This window comes from Homo sapiens, chromosome 6, assembly GCF_000001405.40.
Source record: "Homo sapiens chromosome 6, GRCh38.p14 Primary Assembly".
Classification (NCBI taxonomy): Eukaryota; Metazoa; Chordata; class Mammalia; order Primates; family Hominidae; genus Homo; species Homo sapiens.
The window spans coordinates 89,055,571-89,080,624 of record NC_000006.12 but is presented as its reverse complement, the minus strand read 5'-3'; the positions used below and the strand labels follow the sequence as shown (position 1 = coordinate 89,080,624).

The 25,054-nt window shown below is 43.6% G+C and overlaps 1 long non-coding RNA gene and 2 pseudogenes across 1 annotated transcript, besides 3 other annotated features; 2 read left to right on the top strand and 1 right to left on the bottom strand.

Moving 5' to 3' along the window:
• Nucleotides 40-249: a silencer, noted in NCBI's record as "silent region_17382". NCBI's record gives its function as "represses an Ori minimal core promoter by ATAC-STARR-seq in GM12878 lymphoblastoid cells {active_cell/tissue: GM12878}" and the evidence as "EXISTENCE:reporter gene assay evidence [ECO:0000049][PMID:35858748]".
• Nucleotides 45-463, top strand: PNRC1-DT (PNRC1 divergent transcript). The gene has a single exon (NR_187250.1). It is a non-coding gene; the product is annotated as a PNRC1 divergent transcript (long non-coding RNA).
• Nucleotides 680-769: an enhancer, noted in NCBI's record as "active region_24818". NCBI's record gives its function as "activates an Ori minimal core promoter by ATAC-STARR-seq in GM12878 lymphoblastoid cells {active_cell/tissue: GM12878}" and the evidence as "EXISTENCE:reporter gene assay evidence [ECO:0000049][PMID:35858748]".
• Nucleotides 16,935-17,118, top strand: RNU2-61P (RNA, U2 small nuclear 61, pseudogene; annotated as a pseudogene).
• LOC100131124 (adaptor related protein complex 4 subunit sigma 1 pseudogene) lies at nt 20,703-21,197 on the bottom strand (annotated as a pseudogene).
• Nucleotides 22,413-22,941: an enhancer, noted in NCBI's record as "OCT4-NANOG hESC enhancer chr6:89767403-89767931 (GRCh37/hg19 assembly coordinates)". NCBI's record gives its function as "activates a minimal SCP1, AML or CMV promoter by ChIP-STARR-seq in primed H9 embryonic stem cells {active_cell/tissue: H9 hESC(primed)}" and the evidence as "EXISTENCE:reporter gene assay evidence [ECO:0000049][PMID:30033119]".

The following is a 25,054-nucleotide window of genomic DNA, read 5'->3' as shown; positions in this document are numbered from 1 at the left end:
CTTCGGGTAGACACACACAAACAACCAGCTTGCTGCAGCCTGGCACAAAGAGGGCGCACTGCGCAGGCGCTGCCAGCGAGCTCTTTTGGGAAGAATCGGTCCCGCGAACAATGAAATTGGGTTTCCGCCCCACCCTCTTTACTCCTCCCCAGCACGCCCCTGCGCTTCGCCGGGCTAGGGAGTGGTGGTACTGAAATGTCCCGGCGGAGTTTGTTGATGGGGGTGGGGAAGGGAGGGGGCAGGGGGAGGGCGGCAGGAAGAACGGGGGCTGGGAAGAGGGGATGACTTTGGCAAGGCCACGGTTGCCTCCTCCGCTGCTGACCTTGGGGAAGTATCCGTTTTATTTTCAGCCCAACATAACAGCGTTATCATTTTAAAACAAAGATTTCTAAGTACGCTGTAAGGATTTCTTCCCTAGCAATCGTGAAGAAAATCAGTCTACATTTAAATTTTATCTACTGAAGTATGGCTCACGATTCTTTCATTTACTTGGTTCGGCATCGCTGCTTATTAGTCTCGGTGATCAGAGTAAAAATCAAAGTGACTTACTGATTGAATTAGCCCCTCGATGTATAAAAAGTTCTCCGTAAATCCATAAATGGAAGTTGGAGTTTTTACTGATTTCATACTTGAAGGATTGTGAGACTTTGGGATCAGAACATTGTGCCTGGTTACTTGAGGAGGCGGCAAGCCGGCTTGCGTCTCAAAGGGAGAAAGTGAAACAGCTCTGCAACATAGAGTATTTTGTTAGCTGCGCGTAAATAGAAATTTTTCGCGATCTCCCCGCACTGCTCAACCACAAAAAAGAATTGTGGCCATAATTTATCAAGCATTTATGTTCCAGGAACTGTTCTTTACATAGATTGTCTCACTTTAACCTCACAACAACCCTTACGAATAGGTACTAAGAAAAATAGATCAGACCTCAGCTCTGCGAAGTAGGCAGGCTGTCATTCTCTTCCTTTCACTACTAATGCCTGGGGCAATTGTTTAAAGGCATTTTGTTCCTGATTAGCTGCCTACGCATTATCTTTAAGTTTCTGAAATTTAAGATACAAAGAACAATGTATAGCTAGTCAAGAGCCCACGATATTTTAATGTAAATTGGTAAACAATTTAGGAGCTGCCTCTTTTCCTTTAAAAACCTACTTGTAACTTGCTAATCCGAGTGTATATTCAGGGCAGCTTGAATCTATGGTCCTGGGTTGCAGTCCTCAAGCTTGGCCTGATTTTGCCTCAGCTTCTTTTTGGAGGGACAGTACTGTATTTTATTCCCATTTTACAGCTGGGGAAACAGGCTTAGAAAGGCTAAAGGACTTGTCAAAGATCAAACGGTAAGTTAACATCAGAATTTGATCTCCAGTCCAGGTACTGCAAGACAAAAGTTTTAATTTTTTTTTTTTTTTTTTTGAGACGGCGTGTCACTCTGTGGCCAGGCTGCAGTGCAGTGGCGCCATCTCGGCTTACTGCAACCTCCGTCTCCCTGGTTCAAGAGATTCTCCTGCCTCAGCCTCCCTAGTAGCTGGGATTACAGGCACCCGCCACGCCCAGCTAATTTCTGTATTTTTTAGTAGAGACGGGGTTTCACCTTGTTGGCCAGGATGGTCTTGATCTCCTGACCTCGTGATCCGCCTGCCTCGGCCTTCCAAAGTGCTGGGATTACAGGCGTGAGCCACCGCGTCCAGCCCTGCCACACTAGATTCTACATTATTAGAAGACCACAGTAATCTTACACTTCTGTATCCTCACCGCCTCTACAATAGTTTTCAGCTTTGGAGTAGTAAGCAATTAGTAAGCAATGAAACGTTTTATGATTGATGGCAAAGTTGGACAGATTGCATATCCAGAAAAATGCTTCCCAATCACTTTATAAACTTTTTTTTTTTTTTAGACGGGGTTTCTTTCTGACACTCAGATTGGAGTGCAATGGCATGATCTCGGATTACAGCAACAGCCGCCTCCCAGGCTCAAGAGATCCTCCAACCCCAGCCCCCCACGCCCCTGAGTAGCTGGGACCACAGGCACACACCACCACTCCTGGCTAATTTTTTGTGTTTTTAGTGGAGACAGGGTTTCACCATGTTGCCCAGGCCGGTCTCAAACTCCTGAGCTCAAGCCATCTGCCTGTCTCAGCCTCCCAAAGTGATGGGATTACAGGAGTGAGCCACCAAACCCAGTCAACCTTATAAGCTTTTAAAACTACATTTCAGGCCAGGCGTGGTGGCTCACACCTGTAATCCTAGCACTTTGGGAGGCCGAGGCGGCTGGATTACCTAAGGTCAGGAGTTTGAGACCAGCCTGGCCAACATGGCGAAACCCTGTCTCTACTAAAAATATAAAAATTAGCTGGGCATACAGGCTAATGTGCCTGTAATCCCAGCTACTAGGGGGGCTGAGGCAGGAGGATCGTTTAAACCTGGGAGGTAGAGGTTGCAGTGAGCCGAGATCATGCCACTGCACTCCAGCCTGGGCAACAGAGCAATACTCCATCTCAAAAAACAAAAAAGAAACCAAAAAAACTCCATTTCATTCCAATTGCTGAATTTTACTCATTTTTGTTTCTGCAACATGTAATGCATAGTAAGTGCTCATGTTCATTGGATGGATGGGAATCATGGACATCCAGAGCTGTAAAAGAATCTACTTTTTCAAAGCACTTTCCATCTGTCATCTCATTTTATTCTTACTCTAGCACTTTAAGGTTGATATAGAGAGGTCCTATTTAACGTATGGTGTAAATAAATTTAAATATATAGTAACTTGCTTGGGGGGGGGGGTTCACAAAATGAGGTAGGAATAACTCGAACTCCTGATGCCTAGTCCAGTGTTCTTTTCACTATATCCCATGATTTTAGGCTTGACTTTATCTGGGGATAATATCATACTGTCCTAGAGAATAATTTACCCTTCAGGGAGCTGGTCATTGGTAGCCAGCTCTGTGGGGCCCTTGGTCAAAGATACCTATTATTGTCTATGTGTATTTCTTGGGTGATTGTTGGAGTAATTATGTGTATAACTTATCATTTTGAGGCCTTAAGTGTAGGCTTCATGTTTGCCCTGGGTTCTGTACTGTAAGAAAAGTAACCTTGCAGCTGTGACCACCTGGGTGATGGGTGCTGAGATTGCTAAAATGGTGCCCACCACTAAGAAACAGAATGGGAGCTGAAATGGGGCACTTAGAAGAGAGAGGTCGAGGTTTTATAAGCCAGATGATTGGATTTAATGTTACTCTGTGTGGGTAGTCTTTGTAAACCCTTAGTCTTTAGTAAAGTCTAATTTTAATGTTTAAACCTAAGCGTTACAGGTTTAAACATATAGTGTTAGCTGTGCTATATGATATAAAGGAAAAAGATCAGGCTGGGTGCAGTGGCTCACGGATGGCAAGGTGGATGGATCACTTGAGGTCAGGAGTTGGAGACCAGCCTGGCCAACATGATGAAACCCTGTCTCTACTAAAAATACAAAAATTAGCCAGTTGTGGTGGTGCATGCCTGTAGTCCCAGCTACTTGGGAGGCTGAGGCAGAAGAATCACTTGAACCTGGGAGGTAGAGGTTGCAGTGAGCCGAGATCACGCCACTGCACTCTAGCCTGGGCGACAGAGCAAGACTTCATCTCAGGGAAAAAAAAAAAAAAAAAAAAAATCAGATCCTTTTGCTTGGGCCCAAAAGGCCAAACTTGGAGGTAACAAGATATTCCAAGGGTAAAGGAAATTTTAGGAGAATTCTCAGAGTTCTTGAAGCTTTTTGCTCCAGTGTACATCTTGATTTTATTTTTGTTAAGCTAATCTTTAGAGGAGGTTAGAAGAAAAATAAAAGATTGGAAAGTAAACTAGGTATTAAATAGCAGAAAAAAGAGGTAATGCCCATTTATGAAATAAGCAGCTTACCCGCATTGACACTAAGCAGAACTCCAAATTCCACTTCTCTCTCTTCTATCTACCTTTGTCTCTCGTGTATTTTACCTCTGTCCTCTTTCTCTCCCTCTCTCTGTATGAAATGTCATTTTCTTTCCTCCTACCCTGAATGTCTTTTTTCCTCTTTATATAGACTTTATTACCATTTTTTCTACCTATTATTACTTAGATTTTTTTTTCTTTTTCTTTTTTGAGACAGGGCTTCACTCTGTCACCCAGGCTGGAGTGCAGTGGTGCGATAACAACTCACTGCAGCCTCCACCTCTGGCGTTCAGGAGATTCTCACACCTCATCCTCCCTAGCTGGCGCATGCCACCATGTCTGCTAATTTGTGTGTGTGCGTGTTTGATAGAGACAGGGTTTTGCCATGTTGCCCAAGCTGGTCTCGAACTCCTGAGTTCAAGTGATCCAACCACTTTGGCCTCCCAAAGTGCTGGGATTACAGGCATGAGCCACCTCACCCAGCCTATTGCTTAGATCTGTAATGTCTAAGGTGTGAGGGACACCTGTGTGAAAAGAGGAACACTTAATCAAACTTCTATTTTGCTTTTTTTTTTTTTTTAGACGGTGTCTCACTCTGTTGCCCAGGCTGAAGTGTAGTAGTGTGATCTCAGCTCGGCTCACTGCAACCTCCACCTCCCAGGTTCAAGTGATTCTCCTGCCCCAGCCTCCTGAGTAGCTGGGATTACAGGTGCATGCCACCATGCCTGGCCAATTTTTGTATTTTTAGTAGAGATGGGGTTTCACCATGTTGGCCAGGCTGGTCTCAAACTCCTGACCTCAGGTGACTCGCCCGCCTCAGCTTCCCAAAGTGTTGGGATTATAGGCGTGAGCCACTGCACCCGGCCTTCTGTTTTGCTTAATGCTCAAATTATTAATCTTTCAAATTTATAAAATAATAGTCTTCTAAACATAAAACAACCAGGAAATCAAAATGTTTTTGTTTAGCAAGTAAAAATTTTCCTAACATTTCAGCATTGATTACAAAACTTATTTTATAATGTACTCTGAAGAGTTTAAATAAAAATCTAAAATTTGTGTTAAAAAGCAAAATATGCACAAATTTTCACAATAATGACAAATTTATGACACTTGGAGTGCTTATAAAGTATTGTTACCATAGATTGAAATTAATGTCTCCATTATCCCTATACTTATATCTCTCTGGGGTTACAGGTTTGTACAGGTTATAATTTGCATGAGGGTACCTGGCCAAAGAGTCAAGGGAGAGCTGAAACAGAGCTTTGACTCTGCTCTTGAAGACATCTTCCCAAGGGCTGGGGCCATCTGGGCATCGCTATGATTTGAACGTTTGTGTCTTCCCCAGATTCCTATGTTGAAACCTAATAACCAGTGTGATAATGTTAGGACGTGGGGTCTTTGGGGAGTGATTAGGTCATCAGGTTGGAGCCCTCATGCATATGATTAGAGGCCACAGAGGCCCCTCCTCCTTATACCACTGAGGACACAGCAAGAAGTCTGCAGTCTGCAACCCAGAAGAGGGACCTCACCAGAACCTGACCAGCTGGCACCCTGATCTTGAACATCCCGGTCTCTGGAAGTGTGAGAAATAAATCTCTGTTGTTTGTTATCTACCCAGTTTATGATATTTTGTTTTAGCAGCCAGAATGGACTAAGGTGGCTTTTTCTTATTGGTATGAAGGTGTCAAAAGGACTAGTGGCAACCTTAGGGTACAATAATAATGATGGACATTTGATTCTATTTCAGCCTAGATATAAAACCAAAAGAAAAAGCGTGTCATGGCCGGGTGCAGTGGCTCACGCCTGTAATCCCAAAACTTTGGGAGGCCGAGGTGGGAGGATCACTTGAGCTCAAGAATTTGAGACCAGCCTGGGCAAAATGGCAAAACCCACAAAAATTAGCTGGATGTGGTGTTGCCCACCTGTCATCCCAGCTACTCAGGAGACTTGAGGTGGAAGGATGGCTTGAGCCCAGGAGGTCAAGGCTGCAGGGAGCCATAATTGCGCCACTGCAGTCTAGCCTGGGTGACAGAGTGAGACCCTGTTTCAAAAAAAAAAAAAAAAAAAAAAAATAGAAAAAGCATGTCATTTAGACCAGCTGATGTTTAACCAATTGCATCTTAGCTGGGTAACAGTCTCCATTATGCCTTCCTTACCTGAGCCTTGCTCTCATTGTATACATTGATCAAGCTTTTAAAAATCCTTGCCATTTGCAGAATGTATTTCTTTATTTAGTTTATGGAGATAGGGTCTTGCTCTGTTGACCAGGCTGGAGTGCAGTGGCACGATCGTAGCTCACTGTATCAAACTCCTGGGCTCAAGGAACCCTACCACCTCAGGTTCCTGAGTAGCTGGGACTACAGGCAAGTACCACCACACCTAGCTAATTTTTAAATTTTTTATAGAGACAGGGTCTTGCTTGTTGCCCAGGCTGGTCTTGAGCTTCTGGCCTCAAGCAGTTCTCCCACCAGTGCCTCCCAAAGCGCTGGCATAAGCCAATGCCCCTGGCCCTGCAGAACTTTTAATTTCTAGTAAATTGATGCCTCTCCCTGAAATACGGTGTATTTTTTCAAGTTTCAGTTGGCTAGCCTTGCAGAACCTAGTTTCTTATCATTATGTATTGACCTGGCCTGTTAACCATTTTTGTAGACTGATTTTGCCTCATTAACTTGTTATGATTAATAGAGTCATTGAAAGGGTTCATCATGCATGAGGCAGGGATAGAATGTGCAGTCAGCTGTCTTCTTCACGGCATTTGATTAGGCAAATCTTCATTTTGAAACACATTATTGAATTCTGTTTCTACATGGTCCTGTGTGACTCTGGTGCTGACTGACTATTGGATCTTCCTTCTGCCTGGCTGGTAGGTGTGACAGATGCTGTGGAGTAGTTCTTTCTGTTCTTGGTATGGTTAATTTTTTTCCCAGGACTGCTTGACTGATTCTCAGTTCCCGCTATTCTTCTCTCCCTTCTTTCACAAGGAAAGTCATGTCTGTGCTTTATAAACTAATATATGCTTTAGATTTTAAAAAAATCATCCATACACATAACTTTATTTCTGCAATTTTAAAAAAATTAACATCTATATTATCACATTCACTATCTTTTATAGTCAAACTGTTTATTACTAAATTTTCCCTTTGGAGAATCATTATGGACTTTAATAGATTCAAATAGTTTCAATTATCTATAATCATTTCCCTTTTTTTGCTCAAACCTTAGGGTGTAGCCAATGAAAGCCAAGATATTTCTATTGTAGCAGTCTTGTTGCCTGAAGTATTACCTGAGCTCCTTGTCTCACAACCAAGAAAATTAAGGAACGTGGACACCAAGAGTGAGGTGGGAGCAAAAGTTTAATAGGCAGAAGAGGAATGTTCTCCACAGCAGAGAGGGAGTCCGAGTGGGTTGCCGTTTTTACAGTTGAATACAAAGCTTTTGTAAGACACTCCTCTCTTCTCTGTAGCTGTTGTGTAACTTCCCTTATATGTGAAGCTGTCTGTGTAACTCCCCTTATCTGTGCAGCTGCAGACATGTCTTTAGGCAAACACAAAGCACAGCTTCTCATTTGTGCAACTGTGGATATGTTTTGGGTAAGCACCCCCACTCTCTGTACAAGTTCCCCTGGAGCCCACCGTGTACATGCCTGAAAAGGGGAGGAAACTTTTTCCTGGGAGCCAACTGATTACACCAAGAACAAAAGCTTCTATATTGGGCCTTGCTTTCTTTTCTGTGCAGCTGCAACGTGAGTTTTTCCCCAGGCTGCTCTATTTGTGCCTTTAGCTTGATTTCTCAGGCTGTCTTTCTGTTTAAAAGAATTTTACCAAAGACTAGCTTTAGCTGTCTGCTAAATTTTTCCTTTTCTCCTCCCTCACTATTGTCTCTTTAGCACTTCTCCCAAATATTTTTAAGAACATTTTTGCTTTATATCCATAACAAGATGTTCCATACTTATCTTGGCCTTTCTCTGACCCAAGACATGGAGTGAGCTATTCTATTCTGTAAGAAATCTTTATTTCTTTAAATGAAGAAAAAGCAGCAAAATCTAGGCATCAGGGATCAACATCGGATTGTTCCTCATGAGACCTGAGATAGGAAAAACCAAACTGTTTTTCCTACTCTCCACTCACACACTCACAACAATCAACACAGCACACTTCTGTCACCTGATGCATGGAGTTTTGCCTCACACAGCAAGCACTTTAGGGGACAAGAACTGTGTGTCCTATATTTATCATTCAATTTAGTTCTGACATGTCTACCTGGAGTTAGAGTCAGATCCCACAGGTTAAGGGCTCAGTCCCACAAGACTGCCACCACTTCAGACACCAATGACAAGTAGTAGGTTGTCACCTATACTTTTTGTTTGTTTGTTTTTTGAGACAGGGTCTTGCTCTTTTACCCAGGCAGGAGTGTAGTGGTGCTATCATAGCTCACTGCAGTCTTGACTTCCCGGACTCAAGTAATCCTCCTACCTCAGCCTTCTGAGTAGCTGGGATTATAGGTGTATGCCACTACTCCAGGCTAATTTTTAAAATTTTTTTGTGGAGGTGAGGTCTCACTTTGTTCTCAGGATGGTCTCAAACTCATAGGCTCAAGTAATCTTCTTGGTCTCCCAAAGTGCTGGGATTACAGGCATGAGCTACTGTGCCAGGCTTCCCTCTACCCTCTTCTTGAGTTAGATTAATTTGCTAAAACAGATCACAGGACACAGGGAAACACATACATTTACTGGTTTATTATAAAATATATATAGGATACAGGAGTCCAGGCACGGTGGCTCATGCCTCTAATCCCAGCACTTTGGGCAGCTGAGGTGGGTGGATCACTTGAGGTCAGGAGTTCGAGACCAGCCTGGCCAACATGGTGAAACCCTGTCTCTACTAAAAATACAAAAATTAGCCGGGCATGGTGGCGGGCACCTGTAATCCCAGCTACTCGGAAGCCTGAGGCAGGAGAATCGCTTGTACCCAGGAGGCAGAGGTTGCAGTGAGCCGAGATCATGCCACTGCATTCCAGCCTGGGTGATAGAGTGAGACTCCATCTCAAAAACAAAGAGAGAGAGACAGGGAGAGAGAGAGATTATTGTTTATATTATTTTTTCTTCATTGCAAGAATTAACTCAGGTTACCTAAAGTAATGGGTTGTTTTAAGGATATGCACACATAGACATAAGGAAGACAAGAAGACTGACCACATACCAGGCCTCATAAGATACCAGGAAAACCTTCATACCCAGAACTCATGGAAGGAACAAAAATTATGATGTAGTACCTGACCGACTTGAAATGACATTTGGAAACTCAAAATTGATTCAAGATCCAATGTAGCCTTAACTACTAGGTTATTTGTTACTTCTTAGCAGATGTTTGTTGAGCTTTACTCTAAAAGACTCAACTACTCTTTCTGTTTGTTCTTTTTCTGTATTTCTACTTCTACTATCACCACCACCTAGCTTGCTGTTTACCTAAAGTTCAAATTCCAGAGAGAGGGAAGCTGATTGGTTCAATATGGATTGGTCCAGACAGGATAATTGGATGATTAGTCAATATCATCTACATTCAACAGAACTCTTTTACTAGACCTGTGCTGGATGGCTTCTGGCCAGGATGGTGAGACACCTGTCTATAAGGACCCACTTAGGTCCATTTCAGAAACTATGGACAGACAAGCATTGAGAGGATTGGCCAGGCCAATGTAGTAGTTTTATGAGGTGGAGTTTTTTTAGGAATGAAAGTAAGAAATCCAGGGCAACTTCAGGAAGTAAGAATCCTAGGGCAACTCTAGGAATCTCTGACTTCTCTTGGAAAACTGAATTCCTTCCTTCCTTCCTCTCTCCCTCCCTTCCTCCCTTTCTTCCTTCTTTTCTTCCTTCCCTCCCTCCCTCCCAACTGGTGACATTGGTCAAGCTGGGAGACCAGACAGGGTAGGAAATATGAGGGTCAGGAGAGGCGAGAAGAAAGAAGAGTAAAAGATTGGCTCCTGAATTTCCAAATCTAGTTGACTTTGAGAGGAACCATAGCTTTGACAGGGATATGAAAATCAACAGGACAATTTGGAAAGAAAATATGACTATCTTATTTATTTATTTATTTATTTTTATTTTTTTGAGACAGATTCTTACTATGTCACCCAGGCTGGAGTGCAGTGTTGCGATCTCAGCTCACTGCAACCTCCACCTCCTGGGTTCAAGCAATTCTCCTGTCTCAGCCTCCCGAGTAGCTGGGATTACAGGCGCCCACCACTACACCTGGCTGATTTTTTTGTATTTTTAGTGGAGACAGGGTTTCACTAAGTTGGCCAGGCTGGTCTTGAATTCCTGACCTCAAGTGATCTGCCTGCCTTGGCCTCCCAAAGTGCTGGGATTACAGGTGTGAGCCATGGCACCTAGCTGTGATTTTTTGTTCTTTTGAGACAGAGTCTCACTCTGTCACCCAGGCTGGAGTGCAGTGGCACAGTTTCAGCTCACTGGAACCTTCACCTCCCTGGTTCCAGCGATTCTCCTGCCTCAGCCTCCTGAGTAGCTGGGACTACAGAAGCTTGCTGCCATGCCCGGCTAATTTTTGTATTTTTAGTAGAGACGAGGTTTCACTATGTTGACCCAGCTGGTCTCAAACTCCTGACCTCAAGTGATCCACCCGCCTCAGTCTCCCAAAGTGTTGGGATTACAGCACTTGAGTCACCGTGCCCGTCTGATTATCCTGGTTTAGTAAGGTTTTCTCTCTCTTTCTGTCTCTGTTTCTCTCTCTCTTTTCCTTCCTTCCTTCGTTCCTTCCTTCCTTCCCTCTCTCTCTCTCCTTCCTTCCTTCTTTCTTTCTCTCTCTCTCCTTCCTTCCTTCCTTCCCTCTCTCTCCCCCTCCCTCTCTCCCTCCCTCCCTCCCTTCCTCCTTCCTTCCTTTCTTCCTTTCTTCCTTTTTTCTTTTGCGACAAGGTCTCACTGTGTCATCTAGGCTGGAATGCAGTGGTGCGATCATGGCTCACTGCAGCCTTGACCTCCCTGGCTCGAGCAATCCTGCCACCTCAGTCTCTGGGTAGCTGGGACTAGAGGCTCACGCCACCAAGCCAGGGTAATTTTTTATTTTTTTGTAGACACAAGGTCTGGCTATGTTGCTCAGGCAGCTCTTGAACTCCTGGGCTCAAGTGATCTTCCCACCACATCCTCCCAAAGTTCTGGGATTACAGGTATAAGCCACCGTGCCCAACCAGGTTTTATTTTTCATGTTCTTCACTTTCAAGCCCGATGAAGCTGGGTACAGTGGTTTCACACTTGTAATCTCAACACTTTGGGAGGCTGAGGCAGGAGGAGAATCACTTGAGGCTAGGAGTTTGAGTCCAGCCTGGCAACATAGTGACACCCTGTCTCTACAAAAAATTTAAAAAATTAGCTGGGCATGATGGCACACAACTATAGTCCCAGCTACTCAGGAGGCTGAGGTGAGAAGATTGTTTCAGCCTGGGAGGCTGAGGCTGCAGTAAGCCATGATTGTATCACTTCACTCCAGCCTGGGCAACAGAGTGACTCTGTTCCCCCAAAAAAGAAAAAAAAAATTCTAATGAATTGAAATTTTATGTTTTCTCTCTTAAAAACAAAAGAATCCCCAAATAACTAAGTTGCTTTTTAGTTGCCAGTGAACTATTTATACAAAAAGTGTTCCTACTCTTGTGTAAAATATGGAAATCTATTTATTTATCATTCTAGTTATCCTTGGTTATTTCACTTGACATCTCCAGAATGAGAGTAAAATTATTTTCAAGAAGTTTAAAATAAATTAAGGAAAATGGATTGAAACATACCCTGCCAAATCTCATTTACTTTTCAGGCCTCAGGACAGTCAGTTCATTCCTGTCCTTCTAGTCAGCAACAATTCCATAAGGGAAATAGCATATTTCATTTTTACAAAATACTGCAGTGCCCCAATTTTTACAGTATTTGAATTTAAAATGATATGACAGAATAAAATTTCAGACTGTAGAGCTCTTTCAACTATGTGATAGTAAAAGGTTAGAAAACGAACACTTGTTTTGGAGAAATGCTTGTAATTTTTTAACCTGAGTGAGACTGTATAGAGTTTTTTCTTTAGTTTGTAACACTGGAACATAAGAAGAAAAATGAGATTTGATTAATGATTTTCTGGCAATTCATACTAAGAAAAGAACATTTTCATGTCCTTATAACATCCAGAAAAATTTAGGATTTGTGCAGAACAATCAAATTGACATTGCCTGAGTTATCTTTTTTTTTTTGAGACAGGGTCTCTGTCATCCAGGCTGGAGTCCAGTGGTATGATCTTGGTTCACTGCAACCTCTGCCTCCCGGGTTCCAGTGATTCTCTCACCTCAGCCTCCAAGAAGTTGGGACTGCAGGCACGCACCACCATGCCCAGCTAATTTTTGTATTTTTAGTAGAGACGGGGTTTCACCCTGTTGGCCAGGCTAATCTCGAACTCCTGGCCTCAAGTGATCTGCCCGTCTCAGCCTTCCAAAGTCCTGGGATTACAGGCGTGAACCCTCACGCCCAGCGAGTTATCTTTATCATGTTTTTAGTTCATCCTTAAAAATCTAAGGTTTGTACAAGAAGACAAAACTGACATTCCCTAAGTTATGTCATTTTTAAAATTCCTGAACACACAGAGAAAGACCAGAAGTGTGTTTGGATTTCAGAGCTGAAGAACAAGCACAGCCACCTTCACAGGAAAGCTCAGGATGAACCTGTGTGGCTGATATTCTGCCAAGTTTTATTTGAGACATTGATTATGATTCACAGCCAAATATGACTCATTGCTATAAATGCTATATCTAAAATGATGGCATTAGCTTTTTGAGTTTCAGGGGAGAGAAGAGGGTGATATTTTAGCTTAACTAGTAAATTAGCATATTACAGTTATTCTTAACATATGCAAGTGCATATAATGTGATTAGTTTAAATATTGACACTCATATTCTTTAATTTCTAATGTTCTTTAAGATACAGTCCAGCCAGAGGATCACTTGAGCCCAGGAGTTGGAGACCAGCCTGGGCGACCCCTACCCCTGCAAAGAGTAAAAAATTAGCTGGGCATAGAGGTATGGGCCTGCAGTCCTCAGGAGGCTGAGGTGGGAGGATCACTTGAGCCTGGGAGGTTGAGGCTGCAGTGAACCATGATTGTGCCACTGCACTCCAGCCTGGGTGACAGACTAAAAACCCTATCTCAAAAACAAAAACAAAAACAAAAACCATAGAGCCCAGCCAGATAGATAGATAGATCATCCCATAGGGAAGTCCACAAGCCAGTGAACTGCAGGGGCCAAGGGAAAACTTGCTCTTTGCCCTCTGAAGGTTTGCTGAAAAATCAGCTCACAAAAGACATTAATTGGAGAAAAGGCATAGAAATTTTACCTGGGGAGAATCACAGAGTGATTACTTACTCCACAGGGGAGTTTAGAAACTTATATATCATCCAGACAAAAAGGCTGTGGGAGGAAGAAGCAGCAGCATTCTGTTTAGGGGATTAGTAAAGAGAATGAGTGATAGGGGAACAGAGCTTAATTTCTACATTATCTCCTGAAAGAGTCTCTTCACATGTGGTCTTACAGGAAGAGGAAGAAAAAAATTGTTCCTTTTCGTGGGTCTGGATCTTAGGCAGATGAAGGAACTTCAGCTTGATCCCGTGCTTTGGGAGAGATGGTGGAGAGTGTCGTCAGAGAAAACTTGAAGCTTCTTCCATTCAGCATATCAAAGCACTATATTTTGGGATACTGGTTTCTGAGTCCCAACAAACTCAGAGCATACAATCGGCCTCTTACTGCAATATCCTAAAGTGTAAGCAGTCAGGCAAGGGTGACTTAATTTTTGAGAATCAAACCACACATACAATTAAATAGGAATAAAAGGAACCTGTAGGACATAAATACAGCAGAAGAAAAAATGTTTAAAGCCCCTCTAATTAATAGCCTCAGTGTGTTAGGAATATAGTACATACATGAAACAAAAACAAGATGCAATAAAAAAAAATTTAAAAACTTGGTAGGATCAGGGGTGTGGGCCACCACACCCAGCCGAAAATCTGACCCACAGAGCCTAGCCCAAATTATAAAATTGTGAGCAAATAAAGTGGTTCCTCTCTATATCCCTTTTGTCTTCTTCAAGGTTATTTTGAGCTATTATGTTTTGGGGTAGTTTGTTGTGCAGTAATAGATAAGAGAGTCACTTCAAGAAAACTAAGGATCTAGAACTAGAAATACCATTTGACCCAGCCATCCCATTACTGGGCATATACCCAAAGGATTATAAATCATGCTGCCATAAAGACACATGCACACGTATGTTTACTGCAGCACTATTCACAATAGCAAAGACTTGGAACCAACCCAAATGTCCATCAATGATAGACTGGATTAAGGAAATGTGGCACATATACACCATGGAATACTATGCAGCCATAAAAAAGTGTGGCCAGAATTGGTGGGTTCTTGGTCTCACTGACTTCAAGAATGAAGCCGTGGACCCTCGCGGTGAGTGTTACAGTTCTTAAGGTGGAGTTTGGAGTTTGTTAACTCCAAAGGTCGCGTCTGGAGTTTGTTCCTTCTGATGTTCGGATGTGTTCGGAGTTTCTTCCTTCTGGTGGGTTCGTAGTCTCGCTGGTTCAGGAGTGAAGCTACAGACCTTCGCAGTGAGTGTTACAGCTCTTAAGGCGGCGCGTCTGGAGTTGTTCGTTCCTCCTGGTGGGCTCGTGGTTTCACTGGCTTCAGGAGTGAAGCTGCAGACCTTTGCGGTGAGTGTTACAGCTCATAAAGGCAGTGTGAACCCAAAGAGTGAGCAGCAGCAAGATTTATTGCAAAGAGCAAAAGAACAAAGCTTCCACAGTGTGGAAGGAGACCTGAACGAGTTGCCACTGCTGGCTCCGGCAGCCTGCTTTTATTCTCTTATCTGGCCCCACCCACATCCTGCTGATTGGTAGAGCCAAGTGGTCTCTTTTGACAGGGTACTGATTGGTGGGTGTACAATCCCTGAGCTAGATATAAAGGTTCTCCACTGTCCCCATCAGATTAGATACAGAGTATGGACACAAAGGTTCTCCGAGGCCCCACCAGAGCAGCTACATACAGAGTGTCGATTGGTACACTCACAAACCTTGAGCTAAACACAGGGTGTTGATTGGTGTGTTTACAAACCTTGAGCTAGATACAGAGTGCCGATTGGTGTATTTACAATCCCTGAGATAGACATAAAGGTTCTCCAAGGCCCCACCAGAGCAGCTAGATACAGAGTGTCGATTGATGCACTCACAAACCCTGAGCTCGACACAGGGTGCTGATTGGTGTGTTTACAATCCCTGAGCTAGACATAAAGGTTCTCCAAGGCCCCACCAGACTCAGGAGCCCAGCTGGCTTCACCCAATGGATCCCGCACCGGGGCTGTAGGTGGAGCTGCCTGCCAGTCCTGCGCCATGCACTCGCACTCCTCAGCCCTTGGGCGGTCGATGGGACTGGGCGCCCTGGAGCAGGGGGCGGCATTTGTCGGGGAGGCTCGGGCTGCAGCCCGCCATGCCTGAGCCTTCCCCCGCCTCCATGGGTTCCTGTGAGTCTGTCGGATTGGAGCGGGCGCCCCGCCTGGCCAGGGGCAGGGCTGGCTGCTCCAAGTGCGGGGCCCACCAAACCCACGCCCCCCTGGAACTCCAGCTGGCCCGCAAGCGTGGCGCGCAGTCCAGGTTCCCGCTCACGCCTCTCCTTCCACACCTCCCTGCAAGCTAAGGGAGCAGGCTCTGGCCTTGGCCAGCCTAGAAAGGGGCTCCCACAGTGCAGTGGTGGGCTGAAGGGCTCCTCAAGTGCCGCCAAAGTGGGAGCCCAGGCAGAGGAGGTGCGGAGAGCAAGCGAGGGCTCTGAGGACTGCCAGCACGCTGTCACCTCTCAAAAGGATGAGTTCATGTCCTTTGTAGGGACATAGATGAAGCTGGAAACCATCATTCTGAGCAAACTGTCGCAAGGACAGAAAACCAAACACCGCATGTTCTCACTCATAGGTGGGAACTGAACAATGAGAACACTTGGACACAGGGTAGGGAACATCACACACTGGGGCTTGTCGTGGGATGCGGGGAGTGGGGAGGGATAGCATTAGGAGAAATACCTGACGTAAATGACGAGTTAATGGGTGCAGCACACCAACATGGCACATGTATACATATGTAACAAGCCTGCACATTGTGCACGTGTACCCTAGAATTTAAAGTATAATAAAAAAAAAAAACAAAGAAAGAAAACTCCTCTAGCTGGGCATGGTGGCTCACGCCTGTGATCCCAGCATTTTGGGAGGCTGCGGTAGAAGGATCACTTGAGCCCAGGAGTTCAAGACCAGCCTGGGCAACATAGGGAGACCCCTGTCTCTACAAAAAATAAAAAATTAGCTAGGTGTGATGGCATGCACCTGCAGTCCCAACTTCTCAGGAGGCTCAGGTGGGAGGATCACTTGAGCCGAAGAGGTCAAGGCTAGAGTGAGCCATGATCATATCACTGCAGTCTAGCCTGCATGACAGAGCAAGACCCTGTCAAAAAAAAAAAAAAAAAAAAGGAAGAAAGAGAGAGAGAGAGAGAGAAAGACAGAAGAAAGAAAGAAAAGAAAGAAAAGGAAAGAAAGAGAAAGAAGGAGGGAGGGAGGGAAGAAGGGAGAGAGGGAAGGAAAGAAGGAAAGAGGAAGGAAGGAAGGAAGGAAAATTTAAAATATTTATTGTGACAGAAATAAAAATTTGAAATTGAAAAATATAAGCACATTTAAGACAATCTCCCAGAAAGTAAAATTTAAGGATGGAGAATTTGAAAAGAAGGAAAAGAGAAAGAAGATCTGTCCAGGAGGCCCAATATTTCAAATAGGAATTTCAGACAGAGAAAACAGAGTAAATGAAGAGAGGAAATTAACAAAAAAATAATTTATGCAAATACATCAGAACTGAAAAACGTGAGTCTGCAGGTTGAAGTAGCTCACTGAGTGCTCAGCACATGTGTGAAATGAGTCCTACATCAAGAAATGTAATAATAAAAAGAGATGATCATTAACACCTTTTTAAAATTGCTTCTTGGCTTTTTGCCTAAGATCAAGTACAGTGTCTCTTCTTATCAGTTTAATATCTGATACGTCCTTTGTCTGAGGACAATATATTAAATGGATTTTTGGAGCAGGGAGATGGAATAGGAGCATGCTCCATCCACTCCACACATAGACCTGGTATTGCAGTACCTCCAGGATCTGTGCTCTCTCACCCCACATGCTATAAACTAAAAAAAAGAGGCTGGGCGTGGTGGCTTATGCTTGTAATCCCAGCACTCTGGGAGGCTGAGGTGGGTTGATCACTTGAGGTCAGGAGTTTGAGACCAGCCTAACCAACATGGAGAAACCCAGTCTCTAGTTAAAATATAAAAATTAGCTGGGTGTGATGGCATGCCCCTGTAATCCCAGCTACTCAGGGAGGTTGAGGCAGGAGAATAGTTTGAACTTGGGAGGCGGAGGTTGCAGTGAGCTGAGATCATGCCACTGCACTCCAGCGTGGGTGACAGAATGAGACTTCGTCTCAAAAGAAAGAAAAGAAAGGAAGGAAGGAAGGAAGGAAGGAAGGAAGAAAAAAAATTAAAATATTATTATTTATTTATTTTTGCAGTTTAAAACTTATGCATTGTTTATTTCTGGAATTTTCTTTTAATATTTTGGGACCTTAGTTGACCATGAGTAACACAAACCACAGAATGCAAAACAGTGGATAAGGGAGGGACTACTGTACATATTTTCGCCTAAGATAGTTCTGTATATTCTTCTGTTAACTGGGTAGCAAAAGCATATAGAAAGGTTTTGGGGGGATGCAGTGTGTTGCTCTTCTGTAATGACAGTAATTTACTTCAAGACATTGCAGGAGACGGGGTTAAAGGAGTAAAAGGCAGGAAGAGAAGGATTCATTTCACGCCTACCTGTACAGAGACATTTTCTTGCACTCTACTTTTTTTTTTTTTTTTGAGATGGGAGATATTTACTTTTTTTTTTTTTTTTTTTTTTTTTTTTTTTTTTTTTTTTTGAGACAGAGTCTTGCTCTGTTGCCCAGGCTGGAGTGCAGTGGCACGATCTTAATCTCAGCTCACTGCAACCTCCGCCCCCCAGGCCTAAGCGATCCTCCCACCGCAGCCTCCCAAGCAGCTGGGATCACAGGCGCGTACCACCATGCCCAGCTAACCTTTCTGCATCTTTAGTAGAAACAGGGTCTCACCATGTTGGCCAAGCTGGTCCTGAACTCCTGACCTCAAATGATCCACCCACCTCGGCCTCCCAAAGTGCTGGGATCACAGGCATAAGCCACTGTGCCTGGCTGCATTCTACTTTTAAACTTTGAACTAAATTTCATTAACAGTAAGCTTGGTAATAAGCAAACCCTTTAAAATGTGGCATAAAAAGACTGGGCACAGTGGCTCAGGCCTGAGGCGAAGGCAGATGGATCATGTGACCGCAGGAATTCGAGACCAGTCTGGACAACATGGCGAAACCCTATCTCTACAACAAAATACAAAAATTAGCTGGGTGGAGAGGGTGCGCGCCTGTGGTCCCAGTTACTCGGGAGGCTGAGGCGGGAGGACCACCCGAGTCCAGGAGGCAGAGGCTGCAGCGAGGCGTGATCACACCACTGCACTCCGGCCTGGGAGACAGAGGGAGATGCTGTCTCCAAAAAACAAACAAAAAAGGGGACATAAAGGATAGCTGTAGGGACTCTCTGGGGCTCTCTTAATGTCTGACCATCCATTATTTGGAAGTAATGTTCTCTATAGAGTTAATTACATAATGGCATTGTAATTACTAAGTGCCCTTAAAATGAATATCAAAGGCTTTTACAAACTGGCAAATAAAATTTAACTCTGCAATCTTTGTTAGGTACACGTTATAAAAGTTTTTTGTTTTGTTTTGTTTTTTTTGAGGCAGGGCCTCACTCCATTACCCAGGTTGGAGTGCAATGTTGTGATCATAGTTCATTGTAGCCTCAAACTCCTGGACTTGATCAATCCTCCCACCCAGCCTCTTGAGTAGTTAGGAGTATAGGTGCTCACCACCACAGCTGGCTAACTTTTTAATTATTTCTTTATTTATTTTTAGAGACAGAGTCTCGCTCTGTCGCCCAGGCTGGAGTGCAGTGGCATGATCTCGGCTCACTGCAACCTCCGCCTCCCGGGTTCAAGCAATTCTATCGCCTCAGCCTCCTGAGCAGCTGGGATTAGAGGCGCCTGCCACCATGCCTGGCTAATTTTTTTTGTATTTTTAGTAGAGACAAGGTTTTACCATGTTGGCCAGGCTGGTCTCAAACTCCTGACCCCAAGTGATCTGCCTACCTCAGCCTCCCAAAGTGCTAGGACTACAGGCATGAGCCACCGAACCTGGCTAATTATTTATTTTTTGTAGAGATATGATCTTGCTGTGTTGCCCAGGCTGGTCTTGAACTAATGGGCTCAAGCAATCCTCCTGCCGTGGCCCCGCAAAGTGTTGGGATTACAGGCCTGAGCCTCCACCCACGGACTGTTTTATTTTTGAGACAGGGTTTTGCTCTGTCACCCAGGCTGGAGTGCAGTGACACGATCATAGCTCACTGCAGACTTGAACTCCTGGGCTCAAGCAATCCTTCTGCCTCAGACTCCCAAGCAGTCGAGACCACAGGCATGCGCCACCACACCTGGCTAACCCCTGCACTTTTTGTAGAGACGAGGTCTGTGTTGCCCAGGCTGGTCTCAAATTTCGAACCTCCCTCTTCAGCCTCCCAAAGTGCAGGGGCTACAGGTGTGAGCCACTGCACCAGCCCCACATTACAAAGCTTTTAAAGCTAGGCCCACAAGGTTCAAGGTTGTAGTACAACATGATCATGCTTGTGAATAGCCACTGCTGTCCAGCCTGGACAACACAGCAAGACCTGCTTCTCTTAAAAAAAAACAAAAACAAAAACAAAACACCTCTTAAGAGGTTGGGCGTGATGGCTCATGCCTGTAATCCCAGCACCTTGGGAGGCCGAGGCGGGCGGATCACCCGAGGCCAGGAGTTCAAGAACAGCCTGGCCAACACGGTGAAACCCCATCTCCACTAAAAACACAAAAATTAGCCAGGTGTAGTGGCGCATGCCTGCAGTTCCAGCTACTTGGGAGGCTGAGACAGGAGAATCGCTCGAACCCAGGAAGCAGAGGCTGCAGCAAGCCGAGAATGCACCAGGTGACAGAGCTAGACTCCGTCTCAAAAAAAAGACAGCCTTCAGAAAACAACGTTACTCAAAATGCCTTGTGTTTAAATTTTAAAACTTCATTGGCTGACAGAAAACTGCCATACTTTCTTCCCACTACCATCCTGCTATTCCTGAATTCAATTTGCAAAAAGCAGCACAGACCAAGAAGGGTTCCTTAGGTGCTCAACAGAATTTAAAGAAGTAGGAAAGATATGTTTACAATTAGAAAGTAAAACTTCGCTCTCAGTTTAAAAAAATTTTTTTCTTTTGTACATATTTTAAAGTACAGTTTTGTTGTATTTTTAGGAACTGTGGAAAATGCCTATTTATAATGTCTTTGGAAGGATACCCCATTTTGTAATTGTGGTCTTCCATATTCTTCTGGGTTACAGATGTTGAGATGTATTCCATGGTACTCGCATTTCTGATAAATCCATGTTGTCTGGAAGAGACTTCCTTTCAGCTTTCTGACATCTTATCAAGAATTAGTAGAGGGGCAAGAATTCTTGCCCTGTTAGTTTCCACAATGTAGCCATTTAACACCATCTCATCCAAAATTGTGTGTACTTTATCCAAATTAAACATTATATCTAATTCACTTACTCAGCTGAAATACTCATCTAAAACTTCCACAAAGTTATGAATGAATTCATAAATAGCCATCTTGTTCTCAGTGTCATTAACTCCAACCACAACGAAGAGAGATGCATACTGCCGATATATCAGCTTAAAATCCTTATAATTCAATGAAAGAGCATTGTTCATTGGATCGAGGAGAGACAGCTCTTTATGACTTCTGTTTCCAGAAGTGTATGCTTATTAATATCCACATGTTCATAGTACTTAAAAAGTCGAGTCTGCCCTTGTTTATTCACCATGAGGAAAAATTTTATCATTTTTTCTTTCTTGGCCAGTATTTTTCCAAATATAGTTCAAAAGTTATGACTTATGACAAAGGATGGCTGTAACTGGAACCTGTGCTGCTTGGGGTGTGATGGTCCTCTCAACGGCTTTTCCTGGAGAACCCCTCCCTCTTTCCCGCAGAAGCTTGCTCCCCAACCTTCACTAGCTACGCGGTGCGCGCTTCCTCGGGGCAGCCATTTTGGCTTTTAGTATGGCGTCTGCCATGCCCGGCTAATTAAAAAAAAAAATTATTTGTATTGATAGAATCTCCTTGTGTTGCCCTGGCTGGTCTCAAACAACTGGACTCAAGTGACACTCCCACGCCGGCCTCCCAAAGTGCTGAGATTACAGGCGTGAGCCCCACTCTCAGCCCACAGTCTTTCTAAGGGAAAGACAGGTCACACACAAAGCATCAGAATTGGAATAGTATCTGAAATCTCAGTTTGAAGCTAGAGGACAATGAACAATGACTTCAAAATTTCAAGGGTAAATTAATTCCAACTTAGAAGTCTGTTTCCTACCAAACTGTCAATCAGACATAAGAGTAGAATAAAAATCTTCCAAACACATAACACCTCAAGAAATTTATTCCCGATGCAGTCTTTTCCAGGAAGCTACCGGAAGAAGTGCTTCACTGAAGAGAGTAAACCAAGAAAGAATAAGACATGGAATCTAGGACGCATGAGAGCTCACTCAGGAGAAGAGTGAGAGGAATTTCTGGGGGGAGGGTAAGAAGCAGTCTCCATATGGCATCTGTACAACAGGGCGAGAGAGCCGACTAGCCCAGCCTGCAGCAGGAGGACAGATGAGTCCTGGGGCAAGGGGAAGGTTTCAAAGAAGAAGATGAAATTGCTGGAATTCTCGGTATGTTTGGAGAACTTAAGAAGAGATGTACACTTCTGGCAGAGATCTTGGGGATGAATAAATACTGGGTAAATAAAAAATGAGGTTAAAGAAAAGAGTGTAGGAGAGCCAGAGATCACTTCTAGTACCCCTGTTGGTCTTACGTGGGTTCTTCAGCTGGTTCTAGAAACCAAATCGACACCATGCAGATTAACAAGAGAAAAGCATACAAATTCATTAGTTTTGTTTTGTTTTGAGACAGTCTCCCTCTATCACCCAGGCTGGAGTGCAGTGGTAATATCTCAGCTTACTGCAAACTTCACCTCCCAGGTTCAAGTGATTCTCCCGCCTCAGCCTCCCGAGTAGCTGGGATTACAGGCATGTGCCACCACACTTGGCTAATTTTTTTATTTTAGTAGAGATGAGGTTTCACCATGTTGACCAGGCTGGTCTCGAACTCCTGACCTCAAGTGACACGCCTGCCTTGGCCTCTCAAAGTGCTGGGATTATAGGCGTGAGCCACCGCACCTGGCCCAAATTCATTAGTATTACACATACATGGGGATCTTCACAAGAGCGTCAAGTCCAAAGAAATGGCCAAAGCAAGACAGTTTTTTTTATACTTTTGGGACAAAGAATGATGAATCTGAGAAGAAAACACAGGACTAAGGGGACCTGAGTAGGAGCAATACATTTCCAGGGGTGTCACTAGGAGATATATGGAAGATAAGGGTGATTTCCATAAATATATTTGTCAGGTACATTGCAATCCCACTCTGGGATAATGGCTCTTTTCTGAGCCTTGTGCAGGAGAGTGCCCCTCCCAGAGGAATGTTGATGGCTTGCTGCATGCGGGAGAAGATGGTCAGCTCGCCCTTTCCAAAACTACAACATCTCCAATGTTTTCAACTCAAAATAATCAAAATACCAATTTGGTATATTTTGGGAAGGCATATCATTCACTTCTTCAAGCAAGTGTAAGGCACTTATTAATTGCAAAAAAGAAAAAGTACAAGAAATGGTCTCTATAGCACAATTCATTATATATGTAAACATAAATATCAATAGAATTCAAACTTAGGACATAACTATTAGGAGGATGGGGAAGGAGAATGTATGTATATATTTAAATGTCTTTAGATGACATTCTGGGTAATAATAGAGCTAAAAACCTCATCTTCACAGTAGAAGTCATCAGTTTATATCTAAAACCAAGATATAAAAATTATAGCACTATACAGGCCAGGCACAGTGGCTCATGCCTGTAATCCCAGCACTTTGGGAGGCTGAGGTGAGCAGATTACCTGAGGTCAGGAGTTCCACACCAGCATGGCCAACATGGTGAAACCCCATCTCTACTAAAAATACAAAAAAATTAGCCAGACACGGCAGCTCACGCCTATAATCCCAGCACTTTGGGAGGCCGAGGTGGGTGGATCACTTGAGGTCAGGAGTTTGAGACCAGCCTAACCAAAATGGTGAAACCCTGTCTCTATTAAAATACAAAATTAGCCGGGCATGGTGGTGCATGCCTGTAATCCCATCTACTCAGGAGGCTGAGGCAGGAGAATCGCTTGAACCTGGAAGGCAGAGGTTGCAGTGAGCCGAGATTGTGCCATTGCACTCCAGCCTGGGCAACAGAGCGAGACTCTGTCTAAAAAAAAAAAAATATATATATATATATATATATATATGTGTGTGTGTGTGTGTGTGTGTGTGTGTATAAAACTATATGCATTTTATTTTAAAATATGAAGGTATACACTGAAGGAAGAAGAAGGATTGAAAGGTTGTCTGGGGGAGGAGGGAGCAGACAGGAAGCAAGGGTGGTTAGAGGGAGTCCAGGAGACCTCTGGGATTGTTTTAGACCTGGTAGTACTTACTTTACTTCAAACAACAACATGATTTTTTTTTTCTTTTTTAAGACAGGGTCTCACTCCGTCACTCAGGCTGGAGTGCAGTGGCACAATCACAGCTTACTGCAGCCTCCACTTCGCAGGTCCAAGTGATCCTCCTACCTCAGCCTCCTGACCCAGTCTCAAGATGAAAATAAAAATAAAAAATATATAAAATGAACAAACAAGTGTATGTGATGCCGAAGTGAGCATGTCTATTTAAGTCCTTAAACATCCTTAAATTTAAGTCCTTAAATGTCTGTTCCCCAAATTCATACGTTGAAATTCTAATCCACAAGGTGGTGATACTAGGAGGAAGGGCCTTTGGGAGGCGATTAGGTTATGAGGACAGAACCCTCATGAATGGGTTAGTGCCTGTATAAGAGAGAACCTAGAGAGATCCTTTGCCCCCTTCCACTGTGTGAGTTATAATAAAAAGATGATAGTCTATGGGGGAGTGAAGCCTCACCAGACAATGAATCTACCAGTGCCTTGATCTTAGACTTCCAGCCTCCAGAACTGTAAGAAATACATTTCTGTTGTTTATAAGCCACAGTCTATGATATTTTGTTATGGCAGCCCAAATAGACTAAGGCAAATCCTTTGCCCATTTTTTAATTGGGTTGTCTTTTTGTCATTGAGATGTAAGTGTTCTTTATATAGTCTATATACTACACCCTCATCTGACATATATGAGTGATTTTTCTGGCTGCAGGAACAAAATCTCTGGCCATTTTTTGGTCAGGATATTCTCAAGAGAAGGTTTTGGTTTGAGCACATTTACCACAGGTTAAAATCCATATTTTAGATGAACATCTAAGAATATCCTATACTTCTTTTTGATACAGTAGTTTCTGCTACAGAGGTGCTACTAATATTTATCATTGCCCCACTGCATTCCAGCCTAGGTGGCAGAAGGAGACCCTGTCTCTTGAAAAAGAAAATTAAAAATCATAAACACTGGTTGTAAGCTGATCGGCTTGTTTTTCCAAAAAATTAGGTTTTGGAGGCTTACTGCTGTCACATGCTCGGCTGCTCACTGGTTCCAATGGTCAGGCATAATTTATCTCTCAAAATTCACTCACCCTTATTACTTTGATACAACAGCAACACCATTGCCACCAGGTTCTCAAAAGTGCCAAATTTTCTATTTGCTCAGTGCATACGGTTTCTTTCTTTTCCAGATTTTCATATGTGAAAAAGCAAGATTCCGCTTACTTTACAATCTTTGAGTGGTACTGGTATTTTAGAAGATGGATCACATGAATCCCTTGGCTTCTCATACTCCCTGGTCACTGACCAGTGTGTATGC